Source organism: Homo sapiens, chromosome 4 (genome assembly GCF_000001405.40).
Source record: "Homo sapiens chromosome 4, GRCh38.p14 Primary Assembly".
Lineage (NCBI taxonomy): Eukaryota > Metazoa > Chordata > Mammalia > Primates > Hominidae > Homo > Homo sapiens.
This window is the reverse complement of record NC_000004.12, coordinates 52,906,008-52,927,097: the sequence shown is the minus strand read 5'-3', so window position 1 is coordinate 52,927,097 and position 21,090 is coordinate 52,906,008. Positions and strand designations below refer to the sequence as shown.

At 41.1% G+C, this 21,090-nt stretch overlaps 1 protein-coding gene across 1 annotated transcript in view, besides 1 other annotated feature; it reads left to right on the top strand.

The window, feature by feature from the left end:
* SCFD2 (sec1 family domain containing 2) overlaps nucleotides 1–21,090 on the top strand; it is a 493,080-nt gene that overhangs the window by 438,964 nt on the left and 33,026 nt on the right. Inside the window, exons 6-7 of the mRNA NM_152540.4 lie at nucleotides 6,228–6,373; nucleotides 19,507–19,641. Of these exons, the coding sequence (NP_689753.2) occupies nucleotides 6,228–6,373; nucleotides 19,507–19,641 (281 nt within the window). The remainder of the gene's footprint in view (nucleotides 1–6,227; nucleotides 6,374–19,506; nucleotides 19,642–21,090) is intronic.
* Nucleotides 15,076–15,165: an enhancer, noted in NCBI's record as "active region_21558". NCBI's record gives its function as "activates an Ori minimal core promoter by ATAC-STARR-seq in GM12878 lymphoblastoid cells {active_cell/tissue: GM12878}" and the evidence as "EXISTENCE:reporter gene assay evidence [ECO:0000049][PMID:35858748]".

Below are 21,090 nucleotides of genomic sequence, written 5' to 3'. Positions count from 1 at the left end.
GGCTTCTATTGTTGTTTATTTGCCTTATGCACTTCCCGGGACTGTCCTACTCAAGAGGGGTTTTATACAGTCAGCGTCACTAGAAAATTTCAGATATCATGCCACTTGCTAAGGTTTATTTGATTTTTACTTCATTTAGTTTTGTTTTCATTTGCCAAATATTTATTGAAAGCCATGAGAAAAGACTCCATTTTAAAAACAATCATTTGAAAAGAGAGAAAAGGCGTTGTCAGACTGCTGGATGGATGGGGGAGGTCATGACCCCCAGTGCTCTGCCCTCTCTGGCTGTGTCACACCCCCAAGCCAACCCTTTCTCTAACTGCCCCAGGAGCCCATGGAGGTGGCCCCTGCTGCGTTGGGGCTTGCTGATAGGCAGGCAGGCAGGAGTGCAAACTAGAAAGTGGGCCTGAGGTTCTCAAACTCAGGCCAGTAGAAAAATGAGACCAGTCTTAGACCAGATGAGAAAATAGCCTCTTGACCAGGGTTAAAGTATATTTTTTGACCCTAGCTTTTCCCAAACAGATGTGAGGGGCCTGAGTGGCCTTTAGAACTGTGCAGATAATGATATCAGTAAATAGGGAGACTTTTCAAATCCTACTCTAGCTACGCCCTCCTACTCCCAGCTTATCAAGCCACACGTGCATGATTTTTGCTTGACCTGCATAAATGCATATGTGTACAGGTGCGCACGCGTGCGTGTGTGTGTCTGTGTGTGTATTTGTGTGTTTGAAGGCCTCAGGTAAGGGCTACTTCAGCTCGAATCCAGACTGAAGCACCCTTCTGATGAAAGATGTTTTATTTTCCTAAATACCTAAGTAATGAACCCAAACTTATGGAAACCAGGTTCTTATGAAAAGGTGGCCCAAGCACCAGCAAGCTTCAAGACTGTTTCCTGAGAGAACCAAACAGAAGAGAACTAGGTAGACTGGAGTAAGGAGTAGAGCTTCATTTCAGCCATCCCAGAAGGATCATTAAGCTGTTCTGTTTTCTCTGCATTTTAATTATGTTGGGGCTGGAAATGGACCCACACTGTGCTCCCTGCGGTGTACAGAGCCATGGAAACCATTCCTCTCACTCTGCTGAAGGAAAGGGGCTTCAGTAAATGGAGAAGAGTGAGGGGGGAATAGAGGAAGTGTAGGTGCTGACACAGGAGCCCTATTTTGTTGATCTGAGGGGTAACTAGACCCCTGCCCAGGAGGTCCTCAAGCCCTCTAGAGAAAGAAATTACAGAGGCATGAGTCATCCCCCGGTTATGGAAGAACATAGGGCACCCTAGGGGTTTGAGGGCCTCCCCTATCAAGAAGTGGGCAACTGAAGTACACAGACTGTGCTTGGCTAAAGGTTACAATCAGCTTCTGGTTTATTATCTGTTTAACTAAGTGGATTAAATGAGAATTGACTGGAATTGGACACTTAAACTTTCCTTACAAAAGGCCGTTATCTCATAAGCTGGCTTAATGGAACAGCCTGTCAGGGGCTTATTAGAAGTAACTGAATACAGCACCTTACAGAGCAGAGATTCAAAGGAGGCTGTGCAACCAGGCCCGGGATGCCTCACACCTTGTATGGCCAAAAAAGAAGGATCTAAGGTCTAGCTACAAACCACACTGTTAGCATCTAACCTAGAGACAGGCCCAGGTCTTCCCAAAAAGAAAGCTACTTGCAACTCCCTCCATTTTAGCATCTCTTTGGTTTAAATGTGAATTAAGTGTTTTGTTGATCATGTATATATATATATATATGTATATATATATATATGGCTTTAGCAGATATGAAATAGCACATATAGTACATATATATATAAAATAGCACATATAGCATACATATATATATATATACACATGTGGCCTTAGCAGATATGAAAGACAGCAGAATGTAGTGTTTAACAGGACCAACTTTGGAGTTAGACTGTAAGGGTTTGAATCTTAGCTTTACCATGTACTGATTGAGTGAGTTTGTGTTACTTAACTTCTCTGTGGCTCAGTTTCTCCATCTGCAAAATGAGAATGATAATAGTACCTAGCACATTAGGTGTCTGTGGAGATTAAATGAGCTATTATGTATAAACTTCTTAGAATAGTTTCTAGCATAGTGTGAGCAACTGGCGCTTATATACTACTATTATCACGGAAAATAATTCACCCCATTTAACAGCTTTTGTATCCATATTCCATCTTATCTATCAATTCAGCATATATTTGGAATGAGCTGCATTCACAGATGAGATGTGGAATTGTGGGAGGCAGCATACATGGAGAAGTTCAGGTCTGCAATCGGGGATATTTGAACCCTGGCTCTGCTGGGAATAGTGATGTGATCTTGCATACGTCATTTATCCTGACTGATCCATATTTCTAAAGGGTGTGTGTGTGTGTAACTTTCATTATAGGGTTTGGGAAAATAAATGTAAATCCTTCTTTTGGTGAGGATTGATGTGATTATGAAAAATGCTTAAAGACTGATAAAAATGAATCACCTTTGGCCCAGTATCCCTAAAACGTATATATCATAGAACTTTGAGGATGACAGACAAATTGGAGAGGGTTAATGGTTTGGATAGAAATTGCCCATGTACAGTTGGCTTGAAAAATAGACATAATCGACTATTTTTCAGCAAGATTGACTATATTTGTGAATTTAGGACTTTGCATTTTCCGTCCAGCAGTTTCTTTAACAGTCTTATTTTTCTGTTGGGTTCATTTGAGTTCAATTTACCAGTAGTAACCTGTAAACACTTAATATCAGACAACCTGCTCCACAGTAGAACTAAATCCCTGCAATTACACAGCCTATGATTAATTAATGTCAATGTATAATCCATAACTTTCATGTATAATCTAGGATTTTAAGTAAATACTGTATAATCTAGTAGATGATTCTATTCCACCCAGCCTAATGAATGAATATCATACTTCTCATATTCCAAAAAATTGCAAGAGACCATATGGAAAATGGATGACTCTTTCTGTTCTATAGAAAACGAATTACTTTAAATAAAAAAATTAGTCTATTTAGCTGGATTGACTTTTAGAGGAACTGAAAGACTTTGCATGATATTAGAACTAGTAACTTTTTTTCTCCTTGTTTTTGTGCCTTTTTAAATTTGAAAAAGTAGTACATAGTACTCAACTCCTAGATATAATTGATTCAGTTTCTCACATCTTAAATGGCTGAGCCTAGGGGTTGAAGGAAAGAAGCCACATGTTGAGTGAGAAGCCATAACCTCCCAGGGTTTCTTCTGGCTGGTGATTGTCTAAAGCACAAGCCAGTGTATTTCAACTGAAGTGTGATGCCAACAGCAAACACGCTGTGATACCAATCCATGCTCTGTACCTGTGGCTCTAAACTTGCCTTGGTTATGAACTCTTTTAGAATCAAGAGGGAATTATAGACATGCTCCCCATAAAACTACACATTTTCTTCTTTCCTCAAAGCTTGGCATAGAATTCCAGGAAGTTCCCACGAACTTCCTGAATCCCTTCATTCTTCCCCTACCCCCCAATCCCCTGCAGTCTATGAATCCCATGTGTGTAGGGTCCACTGTTGTGAGGAGGCATTTTCTCACTGAGCTTGACCACACATTTATTTATTTATTTATTTATTTATTTATTTATTTATTTGAGATGCAGTCTCACTGTGTCACCCATGCTGGAGTGCTGTGGCACGATCTCAGCTCACTGCAACCTCCAACTCCCGGGCTCAAGCAATTCTCATTCCTCAGCCTCCCAAGTAGCTCGGATTATACGCGGCCTGCCACCATGCCCAGCTAATTTTAGCATTTTTTGTAGAGACAGGGTTTCACCATGTTGGCCAGGCTGGTCTCGAACTCCTGACCTCAAGTGATCCACCTGCCCCTGCCTTCCAAAGTGCTGGGATTACAGGTGTGAGCCACCATGTCCAGCCTGATTTTTTTTCATGGCAATGGGTTGGACATTTCTGGAAACCAGGAGATGAAGACTAATCAGAGGCTTTTGCCCATCCTTTAAGAGTTATTACACACAATGTCACACAGTGACTGAGAATACAAGCTGAGCTTCTCACATGCCACCTCGCTGTGTCTGATGCAGCTGGATTCTTTTGGATGCTTCTGGGTATGTTAGATTCATTCCATTTTAGTTTAAGCTTGTTTGAATCTACCTCTACTCCCTAAAAACTATTTCTTTTCAACACGTGTATCCTCACTTTACATCTACTAGGATAGCTATAATTAAGAAGATAGCTAATAATAAGCATTGGTTAGGATGTAGAGAAATTGAAACCCTCTTACACTGTTGGTGGGAATGTAAAATAGTGCAATCAGTTTGGAAAACAGCTTAGCACTTCCTCAAAAGGTTAAACACAAAGTTACCATATGACCAGCTGTTCTAGTCGTAGGTATATACCTAAGAGAAATGAAAATGTATGTCCACACAAAAACATGTACATGTAAAACTAGCAGCATTACTCATGATAACCAAAAGGCAAAAACAACCCAAATGTCCATTAACCGATAAGTCGATATATAAAATATACTATTTCCACATTTCATATACATGAATATTCTATATACAATGAAATATTAGTAAGCAATAAGAAATGAAGTATTAATGCTACAACTTGGATGAACCCTGAAAACATTACAATAAGTGAAAGAAGCCAGTCACAAAAGACTACATATTCTGTCATTCTGTTTGTATGAAATGTCCAGAATAGGTAAATCCACAGAGACAAAGCACATTAGGGATTGCCAGGGGCTGGAGGGGGCAGAAATCGGGGGTGACTGCTAACAGGTATGGGATTTCTTGTTGGGGTGACACAGTGTTATAAAATTGTGGTGGTGATGATGGTTGTTAAACTCAGAATATGCTAAAAACTTTGAATTTTATACTTTAAATGGGTAACCATATAGTATATGAATTATATCTCAACAAAGCCGTTACTAAAAACATAAAGCCAGACCTGTCTTCAAATCACTACTATCTTGAGACAAGGATGTGGGTGCGAATACTGAATTTGGAAAGATATCCCAAAGCACAGTCAGGAGGTAGGGAGGTGAGACGGGGGAGGAAGGAAAGCCACTAATGGGGGTATTAATGGGTGAGTTGATGTTGTGGGCAGTGGGTGCTTCATCCTTCTGGGGCCCCTCAGAAAGGCTGTGCAGACCACAACTCAGAATTATTCCTCCACGGGAAGAGAAAATGGGATTATTTCTATGAGTGTTGACTCCCCAGCACTCCCAGCCTGCCCCATACACAAGCCAAACATGCTTCTACATCAGAGAAAGCCCTTAGACAAGAAGAGGCAGAGGCAGAGAGAGACAGACAGACAGACTAACTGCCTGACATGCAGGTACTGAGGTAGGAAGCAGTCGGAATACACAGAAACTTTACCACTCTCGCAGGGGACACCCAGGGTGACCGAGTGGGTATGGGCAGGGCCTTGGCAATCCTTGACACAGGGGTGTTACTTAACCTGCACCTCAGTCCCCTTATACTTAAAATGGTGGAGACAATAGTTCCTGCCTCATACGGATGATGTGACGATTAATGAGTTAATGTAGCTGATGTATTTGGGAGAGGTAAGAAGACATATTTTTAATCTTTTCCTATTTTTTTTTAACTTATCCATGATCATGTCTCCTCTGAATGAGCTTCTAACAAAACAGAGAATACGTTCTTCTGAGTTTGAAAAAGAAACAGAAGGTTGCAGAAAACCGTCTTCTTGTTAAGTCCCCCTGTGTTTGATCAGCTTTGAATGGCAGCCCTCTGAAATGTGCCACGTGCTTTGTTAGTGCATTAGACAGGATCTTTCTCATTCTTGCTGTCCTGCTTTATGGAAACTATTGGTGGGATTCAAGCAAGTGAGTTTGATCATAACAGTCTCTCGTATTTTCCTTTGTGTCTCCTCATATTTTCCCAAAGTCGTGTTCCGAGGATTATGGGCCCTAGGAGCTTGCTTTCTGTGAAATGTCTGCAGTCTAGGGATGGAAGCCAGTGGCTGAAATCCCAGGCAATTTTGAGTTCCACTTCTGTCAAAGGCATTTATACTCAATTTGCTTCATTGCTCATGGACGATTGAAACAGCCCAGTTGGTAAACAGCCAGAGGAAAACAGGGTAAAAAATAACAATAATAATAATAATAATAAAGAAAAAAAAAAACCTCCCAACTACATTACATCGAGCTCAAGCTGTCATGATGAAAACTTAAAGATTTACTCACTCAAGAAAATATCTCTGGATTTTTTCAGACTGGGACTCTTCAATTAATCTGACATTTCACAAATCCAAAATTGCCGTGGATGAACTCTTTACTTCACTTCGGGATATTGCTGGAGCTCGGAGTCTCCTGAAACAGTTTAAGTCTGTATATGTTCCTGGAAATCATACCCACCAGGCAAGTATATACGTTTTAAAGTAACCTTCTAATCTGTTGTACTTCTAGGATTCAGAGTCTATAGAAGAAAAGGTTCCCTTTTAACCTTCCTAAAACCAAAGGTTTGTTCTAGATGATCTCCAAGTTCTCTTTTAGTTCAGAGTTTTGGGTCCCACGGAATCTGAAAGCCTCTCAATTCATTTATGCCCCAGGCTTGATATGGTGGGATGAGCACTGAGTTGGGAGTCAGCCATGGCTTTCTAACTGTGGGTTTGTCGCAGACTGATTCTATAGCCTTCTGCAAGTCCCTTCTCTCCTCTGGGAGCCAATGACTACAGGTACCAAATGAGGGGCTGGCCTTAGAGGATTCCCAAGTTTCTGGATCTAACCAGTCCGTAAACATTTTGAATGAGCAGAATAATGAAAACACCTGATAATGTTACGACAAGGGAAAAAGTTTGTGATGAAAATATGTGTTATTTAAAATTCCTCCACTGCTTTCAAAGGAGGGCAGGAGGACCTAAGAAGAATGTTTTTTGACCATTGAGTAAAGAGATGGTATCAAGATTAAGGTATAATTGCTGTGTAAAAACTCAGAGGGGGAAAGTACATAGAAAGACCCAAAGGGAAGCTTAAGGAATAAAGAAAGGTTAGAGCCACTGAGGCTGGGGAGTCTTTGTTGGACAAGGTAGGAGACAGAACTAAGGTTCCTGGTGGCCAAAGATGAGCTCTCAGGGAAGAACAAATGTTTCTGTTGGAAAAGATGACTAAGTTTAACTGTGGGGAATCTTATTTATTTCTCCATAAAACCTTTAGTAAAATAAACTCTATTTGTTAAGGCTTTTTGGAGAGCTGAATGTGCTGTTAGTGGGGAGGAGTTCAGCTTCAGGGTGCTGACTCTTTAAGGGAGACTTGAGCTAATGTTACCCACTGCAGCTAGCACAATCCAGATTCTTCCTCCAGTATCCTGTATTTGTTTGGGAGCTGATACCTGAAGAGCACTTCTACATTGGATTTTTCCTTTGATTGCCACAAGTTATGCCAGGGAGGCATTATTATTCCAAGATCCGGGAAGGCCAAGTGACGTGCCACAGGCATGCAGATGGCCAGGGGCAGATGCCAGATCTTTGCTGCCAGCCCAAAACCTCCTCCCTGACTATAATATGGTTCTCATAGAGATTCTAGAAGTGTTGATTGGTGGTGCTGATGATCATCTGAAATCACCTACCAAGATACTGAAGACCTTAGAAACTGTCACTCTTCTTAGAAACATAAAGATTTTCATCCTTTACTCAAAGATCTGAGAATGCCACGGCGACAAAATACAGATAAAATCACTCAGGTATTCATACGTAGTTTTGTCATTTTAAAAAATCAGCAATCTTAAATACTATAATGTGGACTAGTTCCAAAAGACATGCTAGAACTAGTGATATATGATGACATTGAGACCAAAAATGTCAAGAAGCAAGTGGCTGGTGTAGTTGGCAAAGAGAAAATAAACCACTAAATGAATGAGGTCTTTCCCATTTTATGTCATCCGGGTGACTGATTTGGCCAACTTCACGTAAACATGTATTAGCTATATATCTTGCACGTGATAAGGACAATAAGTTTCTTAGACCTTATCTCCCTGCTGCCAACACTGTCATTTCTCCAGCCCTCAGAACCCTGTCTTGCAGCCATGGCCTTTGGAAAATGGAGTTTCCCTTTGTCGCATATGTCCCCCCTTACAATAGTCAATAACATCAGCACACTCCCAACAATCCTAAGTGTCAGTGAGTGGGAAGTGGAGTGGAGGTAGGGTAATGTGTGTACATTGGGGGGATTAAATAAATAATGATACAGACACATGGTGAAATGCTGTGCAACCATTACAATGAATGGAATAGACCTAGATATGCTGAGCAGGGTGTGTGTTTGAATCCTTGGCCCAAGGTCCGCTTCTTGGGGAGCTCAACTGAAACAGAGGTCCATGATCAATTGGGTGGCAGTGAGGGGACATGTAGGTCATTCTGTAAAGCATTATTCTATTTTTGTAAAAATAGAATAAAATAAATATTTCATAGGTATGTATACTTAATGTCTTTAAAATTTAGGAAAAATTTATAATGGTTACCTTATGGTGGATGGGTAGGATTGGATGGATAAGGAGAAACACTGATTTCTTGCTTTATTTTTACATATTCTATACATGTGACACTTTTTAATGGGATTATGGGTAATTTTTACCTCTGGGTTTTTCAGTGTTTTTCAAATTTAAAATATTTTTAAATTACAGATGTAAGCCTTGTGACAACAGGGATTTTTATGGGTTTTGTTCACTGCCGTATCCCCAGTACCTAGAGTGGCATCTGTCACATAGTGGATGCTTAGTAAATATTTGTTAGGTACATCTTAAGTACAATACATATATATTTATTACAGATCAGGAGATTTATTTGGACACAAAATATGCATGCATAGGAAAGTACAAGTGTCCAGACTAGACTCAGAGTCCAGCTGCGTGTCTGGTTTAGAAAAATAGTCCTTGGCTAAACAATATTCTGTTCATCTCATCTACCAATTTGGTCCTCAGCCCTGTGACTCCAGAAGAAATCTATGCTTTCTACCCAGCTCCATGCTGTCTCCAGACAGAATCTGATTGAGATGTCCTGGGCTCCCTGGTCACGTGGGAGAGTGCTAGCTGGCCTGGCCCTGGGTTCCTGTTCCCGGTCTGACCTATGCTGCATATTAGGATCTAGGCCTTGGGCCCCCACTGGCCCCACCTTCCCTCCCAGTGGTCCTCCGTCCTGCTGTGATGCGCATGCACTAAGTCTCAGAGCCACTCCTGCTTCCCTTGCTAGGACTAGAGGCACCTCTTATTTTAATCTTTACCCATTAACCCGTTAGGAAAAGGTGTCAATCACAATTCAGATGCAGAAAGTAGACACCATCTAGTCACTTTAAGGAGAAGGTGTCCCAACTGCGTTACATCGAGCATATAAAATCTCTAGAGGGGTCAGAGGAGTGGGATCTGGACTAGACCTCCAGAAATAAATCCCAGAACATTACCACAGGCCTGGCCCTCCAGGGCAGCCAGGACCTTTTCACAGCCTGGAGAGTGGGGGCAATGGGGATCAAGAGGCAACCACAGAAGCTCTTGACTTAAAGAACATCTCACCAAGGCTGGAGACAGCACCTGTCTTTGATCACCATGGTATCTGCATGGGCTAACTCAGTGTTTGCCACCTAGTGGGTGGGTAGATGGATGGCTAGATGGATCCTAGACTGTGCATGTTATCTAGAATGGCATTTCTTACATTTTTAATTCTTAGTGAGAGAGAACTTAGCACAGAGGATAACAGAACAGATTTTCAAGCCATAGCATCGGGGTTCATAGCCCAACTGTCCCCTCTACTAACTGTGTGACCTTGGGCAAGCAACTTCACGTCTCTGTGCCTGGTTCCTACTCTGTAAGAAGGAGCTAATAATAGTTGCTCTCTCATAAAAATGCTCTAATGATTTGGTGAATTAATACGTATAAAACTCTTAGAACATGCTGAGTGCAGTGGTTCACACCTGTAATCCCAGCTACTGGGGAGGCTGAGGTGAAAGAATAACTTAAGGCTAGGAGTTCAAGACCAGCCTGGGAAACACAGCAAGACTCCATCTCTAAAAAAATTCTTAAATTTAAAAAAATTAGGTGGGTGTGGTGGCAGGCACCTGTAATCCCAGCTACTAGGGAGGCTAAGACAACAGGGTCACTTAAACCCAGGAGTTCTAGGCTGCAGTGAGCTATTATTTTGCTACTGTACTCTAGCCTGGGCAAGAGTGATACCCCTTCTCAAAAACAAAAAACAAAAAACTTCTTAGAATAGTATCTGACACCTAGACAGCACTATGTAAGCATTTGCTGTCACAGCCATTGTAACAGTAAAGAACAAAAGAGGCCTTCCTTTGTCTTCTTTTGCAACATTTTATCTTTTCCTTTGTTAGGACATGGGCTACACAGAAAGGGTGTCTTTCAAAAGCTGAGTGTCCTGTTAGCTGTGTATGGCAGAAGGTTGATTGCTGACACCCATTTGTTTTAAAAGGTTGTGTTTGTTGCTCGCTTCTGTTGACTGGAAACCTAAGCCCCCAACTGTGCCTGTGCAGAAAGTGTTTTTTCTGTTTTGTTTTGTTTTGTTTTTGAGACAGAGTCTCACTCTGTCGCAGAAGCTGGAGTGCAGTGGCGCAATCTCGGCTCACTGCAACCTCTGCCTCCCAGGTTCAAGCGATTCTCATGCCTCAGCCTCCCAAATAGCTGGGACTACAGGCGCGCGCCATCATGCCCAGCTACATTGTTTTTGTATTTTTAGTAGAGACAGGGTTTCGCCATGTTGGCGAGGCTGGTCTTGAACTCCTGACCTCAGGTGATCTGCCCACCTCGGCCTCCCAAAATGCTGGGATTACAGGCATGAGCTACTGCGCCCGGCCGCAGAAAGTCTTCTTACCCTTCCGTTTCTTACTGCAAATGCTCAGTTTAGTGAGAAGCTTAATCTCCCCACTAAATGCCACAGTGTCTGATGTGATGCCATTCCTCAACTGTGACACCAGGAGGATATTAGGCAGATGTCTCAGGGCAGGGAGCTTATACGGGGCTTTCAGACAAAATACTGTATGGCTCTCGCATGGCTTGCCTTGGCATGCATCTTGAAGAGCAGGGCTGAGCTGCAAAAAACCTTCCACAGACACATACTGTACTTTGTGCCTCTGGCATGTTGAACAAGAGCATTTTGAACCAGCAGTGCCTGAGGAGGCTTGATTCATCTTGTGCCCAGTGAAATGTGGCTCTCTGAACAGGCTTTAGGCCTGGCCTCTTTTGTCAACAGTGCCCAGCCCTGGCCTCCAGTTGTTCTTTTCCAAGTGCTAAGTTCTATTGCTCCTCCTGATTCTTTCTAACAGAACTGCTAGCATCTTTTCTGAAGGAATCAGCATGGGGTAGGACTAAATTGAGGGCCAGGAAACTTGGCTCTGTCCTGAGTCTACTTCTAATTGGCTGTGTGAACTCAAGCAAACATGTTAATGTGTTTGGGCTTCACCTTCCTCATATTGAATTGAAGGGGCTATACTCAAATTTTTAAAAACTAATCTGCTTCTGGATTGAAGCCTGGGTGGGTGGATGGATGGATGGATGGATGAACAGACAGACAAATGAACCATTTTTAAATCTACAAATAAATTGTTTCCTTTAAGAAGATGAAAGGAGAAAAAACAGTCATCTTATAGCAAAAAATAAAAATAAATGAGCCATGGATTAGTCAAAGCCATGAGCAATTTTGAACAGATGTTTTTCTGTGCTGTCTTGGGTTGAAACAAAATGAATACCCTCCCAGTAAGCCTGGTTTTTCTGAGAGGCTGGTTGTTCAGAGTCAATTTTGCAGAAAAGGGAGAAGCAGACATCTTCACTATCAGAACTGAGCCCCCAGCTATGCCAACAGTAACAGCAAAAACAAGGTCAGCAGCCCCAGCTGATGGAGATGTGACTGTGGCCACAACTGGGTTTTCTTGGAAACTGCTATCCTAAGTCATTTTTAAGGTGCACCAAATTCAAGATGTTGTAGTTACACTGGTTTCTCAAGATTGTATCTGACTTACTATATATTATGTCAGGAACTGCTGCTATACTCACTGCTTTTCCTGAAGAGCTAACATTCAAGTCAACAAAAGAATCTTCCAGACCCACCACACAGTATGTTCACCCCAAAAGAATAACCAGAGACATTGACACAGTATTTTAGTTATCATATTTTACTTAAATGTGGTATTTTTTTAAGGATTCATTTCTTGAAACTTCAGCTATTCCATGTGTATCAGCCATCAAGGGGTCTCTTTAAGCTCTACCAAGCTATCAGGCCAGCCTCATGAGGCTCTCATACAGGGCCACGATATGACCTTCATGGGCCCCTTTTTTTGTAAAAATAAAAAATAGTAAAAAGCATATGGTACAATTGCACTGGTGTAAAAATAAATATATCAATATTACATATGAAAACATCACTTTCACCTTAAAGTATTTTTTCTTCTGATTTAAAAAAATGTATTTTCATGGGCCCTCAAAAGGAATGTGGGCCCAAGGCACTGTATGTTTGTATCTAACAAATAAGTCAGCTCTGTGGTCATGGCTCCCACTTGACACAAGTGTGCCCGAGACAGGAAAGTAGCTCCCCATCAGGGGAGCATAAGGCATTTTTCTTCCTTGGAGTAGTCCCTATGACCATCCATGAAGCTTGAAGCAGTCCACGCAGCTACTGAGGAGCTACTTGGACTGGTTTCAAGGTGACAGCTCAGGAGTGAGAGAGCTAGATTCACATGGGATGAATACACCAGTCCCCTGGCTTAAAAACCTCATATCCTGTAGGAGCTAATTCCTCTGTAAGAACTCCACAGACATAGCTTCCAGCACTCCTCCAAGGGACAAGTCCAGTTATTATTCAAGAATCATTATACTCAGAGAAGCCCAAAGCTCTGGCTTTCTATCAAATTTTTATAGTTCTTTCAGTTTAATGCAGTTTACCAACCAGCGGTCATTTTTGTCATAAGCAATCTTGCCTGGCTGCATAGTTTGACATTCTTCCTTTATCAGGTTTCCAGGGAAACAGAGATAAAAAGTTAACCAAAGGTTAAATTCTTATGCAGAAGGGAAAAGGGTTTAATAATCTTTTACCTACAACCTGCAGCTTGCCAGTTGTTAAGGAAATATTTACATTAATGTTCCAATCAAAACTTAACAGTGTGTCTATGGCAGAGACCATCCTGTGTATTCCCAAAACTCCATTGCCTTTTCTTCTGTAGCAAACAGTTAGACTCCTTTTTCCAGGTTCCTTTGTAGAATTGTGACTAGTTATGGCCAATGAACTGCGGTGGAAGTGATACATATCACTTTAGGGCTGGACCCATAAAGTCTCTGGAAATCCTTCATACTCTCTCTCTCATTCATCATCTGCTGATGAGAGGTAAAGTCTTCAGTGTAGGATTCTAATGCTCTAGGGAATGGTGTAGCACAGTGGTGCCCACCTTTTTGTCACCAGGGACCTCTTTTGTGGAAGGCACCAGGCGGTGCAGGGTGGGGCGGTGTGGTTTCAGGATGATTCAAGCACATTGCATTTATTGTGCACTTTAATTTCTATTATTACATTGTGATATATAATGAAATAATTATATAACTCACCATAATATGGAATCAGTGGGAGAGGTAAGCTTGTTTTCCTGAAACTAGACAGTCCTGTCTACGGGTGATGGGAGACAGAGACAGTGACAGGCCATCAGACATTAGATTTTCATAAGGAGCATGCAACCTAGAACCCTCACATGCGCAGTTCACAATAGGGTTTGTGATCCTAGGAGAATCTAAAGCCATCACTGATCTGACAGGAGGCGGAACTCAGGCGGTAATGCAAGTGGTGGGAAGCAACTGTAAATACTGATGAAGCTTCACTCATTCACTCACTGCTCACCTCCTGCTGTGTGGCCCGGTTCCTAACAGGCCACGAACCAGTAGCGGTCCATGGCCTGGGGTTGGGGATCCCTGGTGTAGCAGGAACCTGGGTCCCTGAATGATTGGGCAGGGCACAGATCTCCTATTGCCAGCCCACATTGGATATCCAGAGATATAAGGAATAAATAAATGACCAGCAAGAAAAGGAAAGAACAAATTTTTCTGAGTTTTTAATTCCTCTCCCAATCTCCCAAAAAGGTGAACTGGCAGAGAGTGTTTGATTAGGAAAACTAAATTACTATGGTTTACCCTCTTAATATGGAGACAAACTATATGGCTAATCTCTCCTCTGGCCCTTCCTAGCATGCGAGAGAATCTTTGAGTAGGGCACCAGAGAAATCACATCTGTCTCCACTATCACCACCTTCTACAGGGTCCTTTGCTGAGAAGTGAGTCATTCCTGGCTGAGTAGAAAATTTCATGCAAGTCAGAGGGTTCCCATCTAAGAAGTCATTGCCAAGCAGTTCATTCTAACCAGATTTCAGTGACATGATTTAGGGCACAAAATGGTCCAAACTAAGAGGCTGAGAGACAGAAACCAAAGGTTCTCCTCATTAAAACTTAACTGGAAATTTTTTTTATTAAGAAGGCACAAGTACTGTTTCGTGCCTGAGAAAGTCTTTACCAAATTGTGCTCTCTGAATACACAATGTAATCCAGTTGTTCTGTACTTAGTTCTTTCAGTAGAAAATTTAGAGGGTTTTTTTTTTCCCCATATTCCCATTCAAGTAGGAAAACCTATCAACTTCTCTATGAATTAATATTTACATCGTTTACTATGCTTTTGGTTACAATTAAAAATAGATAAAGAAAAAAGTTCTAAAAAGCTTAAACAAGAAAGGTAATTTTTTTCTGCCTTTCTAGCCCCTGATTCTTGCCCCTCTCCTTTTTTCCCATTTTATGTCTTTTTTAAAAATCTTAATGCTTTTAGATAAAATATTAAACCAGAGTGTCCCTCTCATCCTCTACTGCATTGTTTTAGTGGAATAAATGTATTTTAGAATAAATTTTTATAATGTTCATTATCTCATCTTTTCTGTTAATATCTGTACCTGTTTTTGTCAGTGTTCAAGATTTGTCATGTTTTGTTTTGTTTGTAGACTTACTCAGCTTCTGTTACTATTATAGCATTATGCATACTGATTGTTTACTAAATAAAATGCCACTTTGAGCTTGAAAAAAAAAGAAAGGTAATTTATTAAATCCTATGACTTAAAAGTCTAGAGGAGGGGCAGCTTCAAGTGGTGAGAGGCCATCGCCAGGGTGATGGTGGCAGGAATTGCAAATAAACAGGAGAAGCAAGTTCCTGCCTGTTCTTCCTGCCTTCTGGTCTCCCTCGAGTGCCCCCTATCGGCAGAGTCTAACAGACCTAGCTGGCAAAGCACAGAAGTGGTTTTCAGAGTCTCAGCCCAGCATCACAGAACTGAGTCTAGAAGAGAGGGTTTGGAATTGAGAGACAATAGCTTGATAACTATCACATTTTCATAGAAAATGTTATTTCAAAATTGTTGTTATATGAAAAGATAATCAGAGAGAATGCAACCAAAAAATGTAAGAAATGAATATCAAAGAGGTAGGTCAGGCAATTAATAAAAGCATTTATGTTCTTTTCCTGGATTATGTGATGTGTTTGCTGTTACTTTTCTGTATTTTAAATCATAGTTTCTTTTCTCCTGCTATATAAATGTGCACCTACATACCTTAAAAAAATAAAAAACAAAAAAGATTTCCAACATTCCCAGTGTAGCACAGAACAATCACAAAGTCTCAAGAATGAAGAGGTTGAGAAAACAGCACTTCTAAAATCTCTGCTCACTACCCCCAAGGAGAACCCAGCTCAGTGAGCATTTTCTCCTGGATGTTTCATTCCCCAAAATTTAGTCAAAAGTGGAGCAAGGGAAAGAGTGAGAGTGATCCTAGTGTCCCTACTTACCCCAATCCCTCCATAACTCCTGCTTTCCCCTGTCTCCCAGTCTACACTGGGTCACAGGACCCCTGAGAACAAATCCTATCACCCCAGATACACTGTGCCTTGCACAGAGGAGGTACAGAATATAGTGTTTTTGCTTAATTACAGAGCCACCTTTGTGCTGTGTATGATCTCTTTTTCAGAATCACTACTCTTCCTTTTTGTACAGGACATCTTATGGAGAATGACAATCTATTTTTTTTTTTTATGGGTTAAGGGGTTGCATTAGTCCGTTCTCATGCTGCTAATAAAGACATTCCCGAGACTGAGTAATTTATAAAGAAAAGAGGTTTAATTGACTCACAGTTCCACAGGGCTTGGGAGGCCTCAGGAAACTTACAATCATGGCAGAAGGGGAAGCAAACGTGCTCTTCTTCACAGCAGCATCAGGGATAAGTGCTGAGCAAAAGGGGGAAAAGCTGCTTGTAAAACCATCGGATCTCATAAGAACTCTCCCACTGTCATGAGAACAGCATGAGTGTAACCGCCCCCATGACTAAACTACCTCCCACCAGGTCCCTCCTGCTGCATGTGGGGATTATGGGAGCTACAATTCAAGATGAGATTTGGGTAGGGACACAGCCAAACCATATCAGGGGTATATTTTCTTCTCTCTTAAATATGACAGCCTATGTGTATTTCTCTGTGATTCTGCTAATGAGTTTTAATAGACTAATAAAATAAATAACTGTAAGCTTCTGGAAGGAGGAAATGTCCTTTTATATCTTTATGTTCCCTTCATGCTTTCTATCAGAATTTCATTCAGTTACAAGTAACAGAGATCTGAAAAACAGTGGCTTAAACATACAAGGTTTTATAGTGACATGTAAAGTAGGTACTAATTTAGCCTGTCCATGTTATGGTGATAGTGGCTCTATAAGTCATCACTTACCAAGGTTTCTCCAGCTCTCTGCTTCACCATCTCTAAGGAATGTCCTGTCTTCCAAGATGGCTGCTGGAGCTCCAGGCTTCACTTCTACATTCCAGCCAGCAGAGAAGAGGAAAAGAGAAAAGCATATCCTTCCATTTTAAAAAGGAGACTTCTGAAATTCTCACATTACTCTATTTACATCTCATTGCCCAAACCTTAATTACATGGCTATAGTCAGCTGCAAGGAAGGCTGGAGAATGTAGTCTTTTAGCCAGCTGGTAATGTGCATGGCTGAAGATTGAAGTCTATTACCAAGGAAGAGGTCAATTATTATTTGATGATAGTGCCGATAAGGTATCAGATTATTGGCCAAAGGACTTCTTGTGGAGGAGCTTTAAAGAGATTGAAGTTTAAGCGAGTCAATGTCCAGAAAGGCTAAGGTGATAGAAGAGCATTCAGAACAGTTTACTCAGGGAAGAGTATTTGCAGGATTTGCAGGATTCAGATTCCATGGCCCTTTTTTTACATTTAAAATAATATTTATTAAATTATCTTACGATTCTGGAAGTAGACCTCTTAATTTTGGAAAATCTGGAAAAATAAAATAAATGTCTCCTACTTCCTGAACCTAGAGATAACCCTAAATAACATTTTGGTGTGCTTTACCCCAATCTCTTTTTCATGCATAAATAATTTATTAATTTTTAACAATTGAGATCATTCTTGCCGTTTGTAGTGGTGCTTTAAACTGTGCTGTAAATAAATAAATAAATAAACAATACAATGAAAAGTCTTCCTCTCACCTTTCTCCCTTGCTTGGTCCGCCACCCCATAATCATTGCTGCTGATAGTTACTATGTTTCACACCGGAGCTTATTTTTGCATATTTCAGCAATTTAAACTTCCGTATTCCCCCTGCCACTTTTTACACAAATGCTAACCCATCATACACAGTATCCTCACCTTGCTTTTTTCATTCACACACTATTCTGTACCTTGTTTCTGCCACACAAGCACAGAGCTTTCTTATTCTCTTTCATGGCATTCCTCCCTGTGGATGCACCCCATTTATTAAACAGCTCCCTACTGATGGCACTTGGGTGGTTTCTAATCTTGGTACTACAAACAATAAACAGCCTTTTTGGATCTCATTTGCATACATGAGCATATGCAAAGAATAAATGACTAGGAGTGTGATTGCTATGTTGAATGCATCTGTAATATTGATAGGTATTACCGAATTGCTCTCTGCATTGATGGTAACAATTAACCCTCCCACCAGCAATGTATAAGAGGGCCTGTTACCCCATGGCCTCATCAAAAGAGTGTATTTTCAAACTTTTGGAGTGTCAATAGTCTGATTTAAAAAAAAATTCCATCTTGGCATAGCTTTAATTGCAATTTCTTTATGAGCAAGGTGGATCCATAGTTTTCAAAATATTTCTGTCTGACCGGTGTTTCTGTTCATTGCCTTGCCCTTCCTGATCATGTAACCATGAGATCTCTGGACAAACAATGGTCTGTTTGACTAATAAGCATAAAAAGGTTGGTATCCCCAAGTGAGAAGATGCTAGTTTTCCCTGCATCTTATCCCTGGGAAAGATGCCAACTATATTCCTGCTGAATGGTTATTTATGATTTTAATGGTTTATACCTTGCTTTATTTCTAAGCTATTTAAAACAAGAAAATTGGAAAGGGAAAATTTGAGTAAAAAAAAATGACTGGAAGAAAAGCAAGATGAAGCCAGGAATGAGGTCAGTACACTAAATATCCTTGACAGTTGCTACAGACAAGTCACATATTTGGCCAATCAGAGAGAGAAAGAGTTTAATACAGGATATGCCTCAACTGTGCCCTGTTAGAAACTGGCTTTACTGAAGCTATAATAGATCAGAGAGTGCATTGAGGGAAGATATTCCTTCCTCCTTTGCCCTTCATGCCCCAGACTTCGTGCCATATCTGACTGGAGGATTGGGAGGAAGGTGGTCCACCAAGCGAGAAAAGAAAACGGGAAGAACTTGGCAGCAAGAACTAAGGAAAGAGGTGGTGAAAAACAGCTCAGAAAGCGCAGGGTCAATAAGGCGGCTGGCTCCCCATATAACCTAAACATGGACGGGTTATTCAGGTTACAGAAAAGGAAGGCATTTAGCAGAATTTATCAAACTGTAGAAGTTGTTGCAAACTAACATCTCCCTAATTCTACTGAAATTCTTATGATACCATGTAGTCTGCTTTCTGACCTTTGTCAGATTCCTTTATGTCATCTTAGCTTCTTTTCCTGGCCAAGTCATACTTGGGAATTGAGCTCTGTAGAAGGAAGAGGGATTGCTTTAAGCTTGGTTATTGACAGCACATTGTAAATAACATTGGAGTTCCTAGCAGAGGAGAGCATAATGCTAAGAATGTTCAGGAAAAACTGGAGACCATCTTCATGTCTTCATGTCTGTATCAAACAACAGTACTTTGTTTCTCAGTATACATAAAATTGTCACTTTAAATAGAAAAATTAGTCATAGTATGATTATAGCTCTGGTAAGATATATTTGCTTGTAGAAGGGAGCATGAGAAGCAGAAAAGCATGCTAAAGCATTGGGGTGAAAGTTTATTTAAAAGCCCAATGTTGTTATATTGTCTTTTCTGTGACACACACACACACACACACACACACACACACACATATAGGCATTGCTCAGTATCAAAATAAACTTGCTTTGCTTTCTTCATTGCAGATAAAGCTGTCCTCTCTCCAGACAAACCAAACAATCCCTTTACTCATAGTATTTTGTCTTTCCAGGCATCTTATAAGCCATTGTTGAAGCAAGTTGTGGAGGAAATATTTCATCCCGAGAGGCCAGATTCCGTTGATATTGAACACATGTCTTCAGGCCTCACTGATCTCCTTAAAACTGGATTTAGCATGTTCATGAAGGTAAAGTAACCATGGAGAGGTAATCCTGAGTGTAGAAATGTTCTCTTTGCTGGGCATGAAAATGCTGGCACCCTGTTAACCCTAGCCAGCACCATACAGATAACATTTGGTATTTTGGCTCTTCTAAAATCAAGGGCAATCTTTATCTTTTGATTATAAGCAGCCTGACCTGTTAGCGTCATACAGCTTCTTCTGACCTGAGCACTGTGGTCTTTTCTGGTCAGCACATGTGGTCTAAGGTGGAGGACACAATCTCTCTGGGACAGCACTATTGAAAACTCTCCTCCTTGCAGCCTATGTTTTCACTTAAAATGAATCCACATAGCACACACCGGTCTTAGTGACAGCCCTTTGCTCTTAATTCTAGAACTGATTATGTAGGATGATGAGCGGCTCTGCTCAGTCCTATGGCTAGCATCACCTCAAAACCCACTTGGAAATGACTTTTGGACTGGCAGACTCCTAGGCGACAAGTGTCAGAATTTATCTGGCTGATATCTGGGGTGGGTCAAAATAACTGAACAACCCTTGAAGTGGGGATGAAAGGAGGAAAAAGTACACAAATGTGATCTATTTTTAACCTACTGTAGAGTTTCTAAATCTAAAAAGATTTCAATAAGATTACAGGCTGACCTCTCAGTCCATGCCAGGATTTCACTTGTAATAACTCTTGGAAGTAACAGAATGTTTTGCCAGCATCAAAGCATCTTTGAAATCATGAATTAATCTACCTAAGAGATCTGGCCTTTCAGAGTTCAATAAATGCATATTCCAGGAAAACTGTTCCACTCCAAAACCCAGAGGACAGACGCCAGACAATCAGACTCTAAACCAAGCAGTAAGCCTGCTGGAGCGGACCTGCAGGTCTCCTTCCTGCTGTTCCCAATTTTCAGCAACTTCTGTTGCAGTGCCTGGTTGGTGCATTTTCCTTCTATATTTTTTAATAAAGCAGTGTAATCAGCCTCTCCAAAGTGTTTAGGGACTTCTGAGTTGGTATAAGTAGGCCCAGAATTGGCCAGTGTCTCCCTATCCTGAGTAGCCCTTCATGGTGGCTAGTTGGTACAGAAACTTCCAGACTAGACACGGTTTCCAACCTTTTCCACTTGAGCATTCTTTTCTTTCATTCACAGGCATGGCTTTACCCTGAAGAGAGACTAAAATATCAAGTGTGGACTTTCAGAGCCTGGTTAGTAAGGTCTGAGGATGGCCCAAATGCCAATATGCCCTCTCCCAGACAGGCTGCTGTGTCTGTGGTGCAGTCAGACCCTGTACAGGGGGGTCTGGCCAAGGGTACAAATGAAGGCTCCACCCCACCTGCCCTTGGAGAGTTGCAGTGTAGGTGACAGGAGGCCCTAACTCTGCTCTTTGTCCAAAGATGTTCCACAGAAATAACTGTTTCTTAGCCAAAGGGATCTTTGATCAAATATGTTCCAGAAACACTGGCTTAAA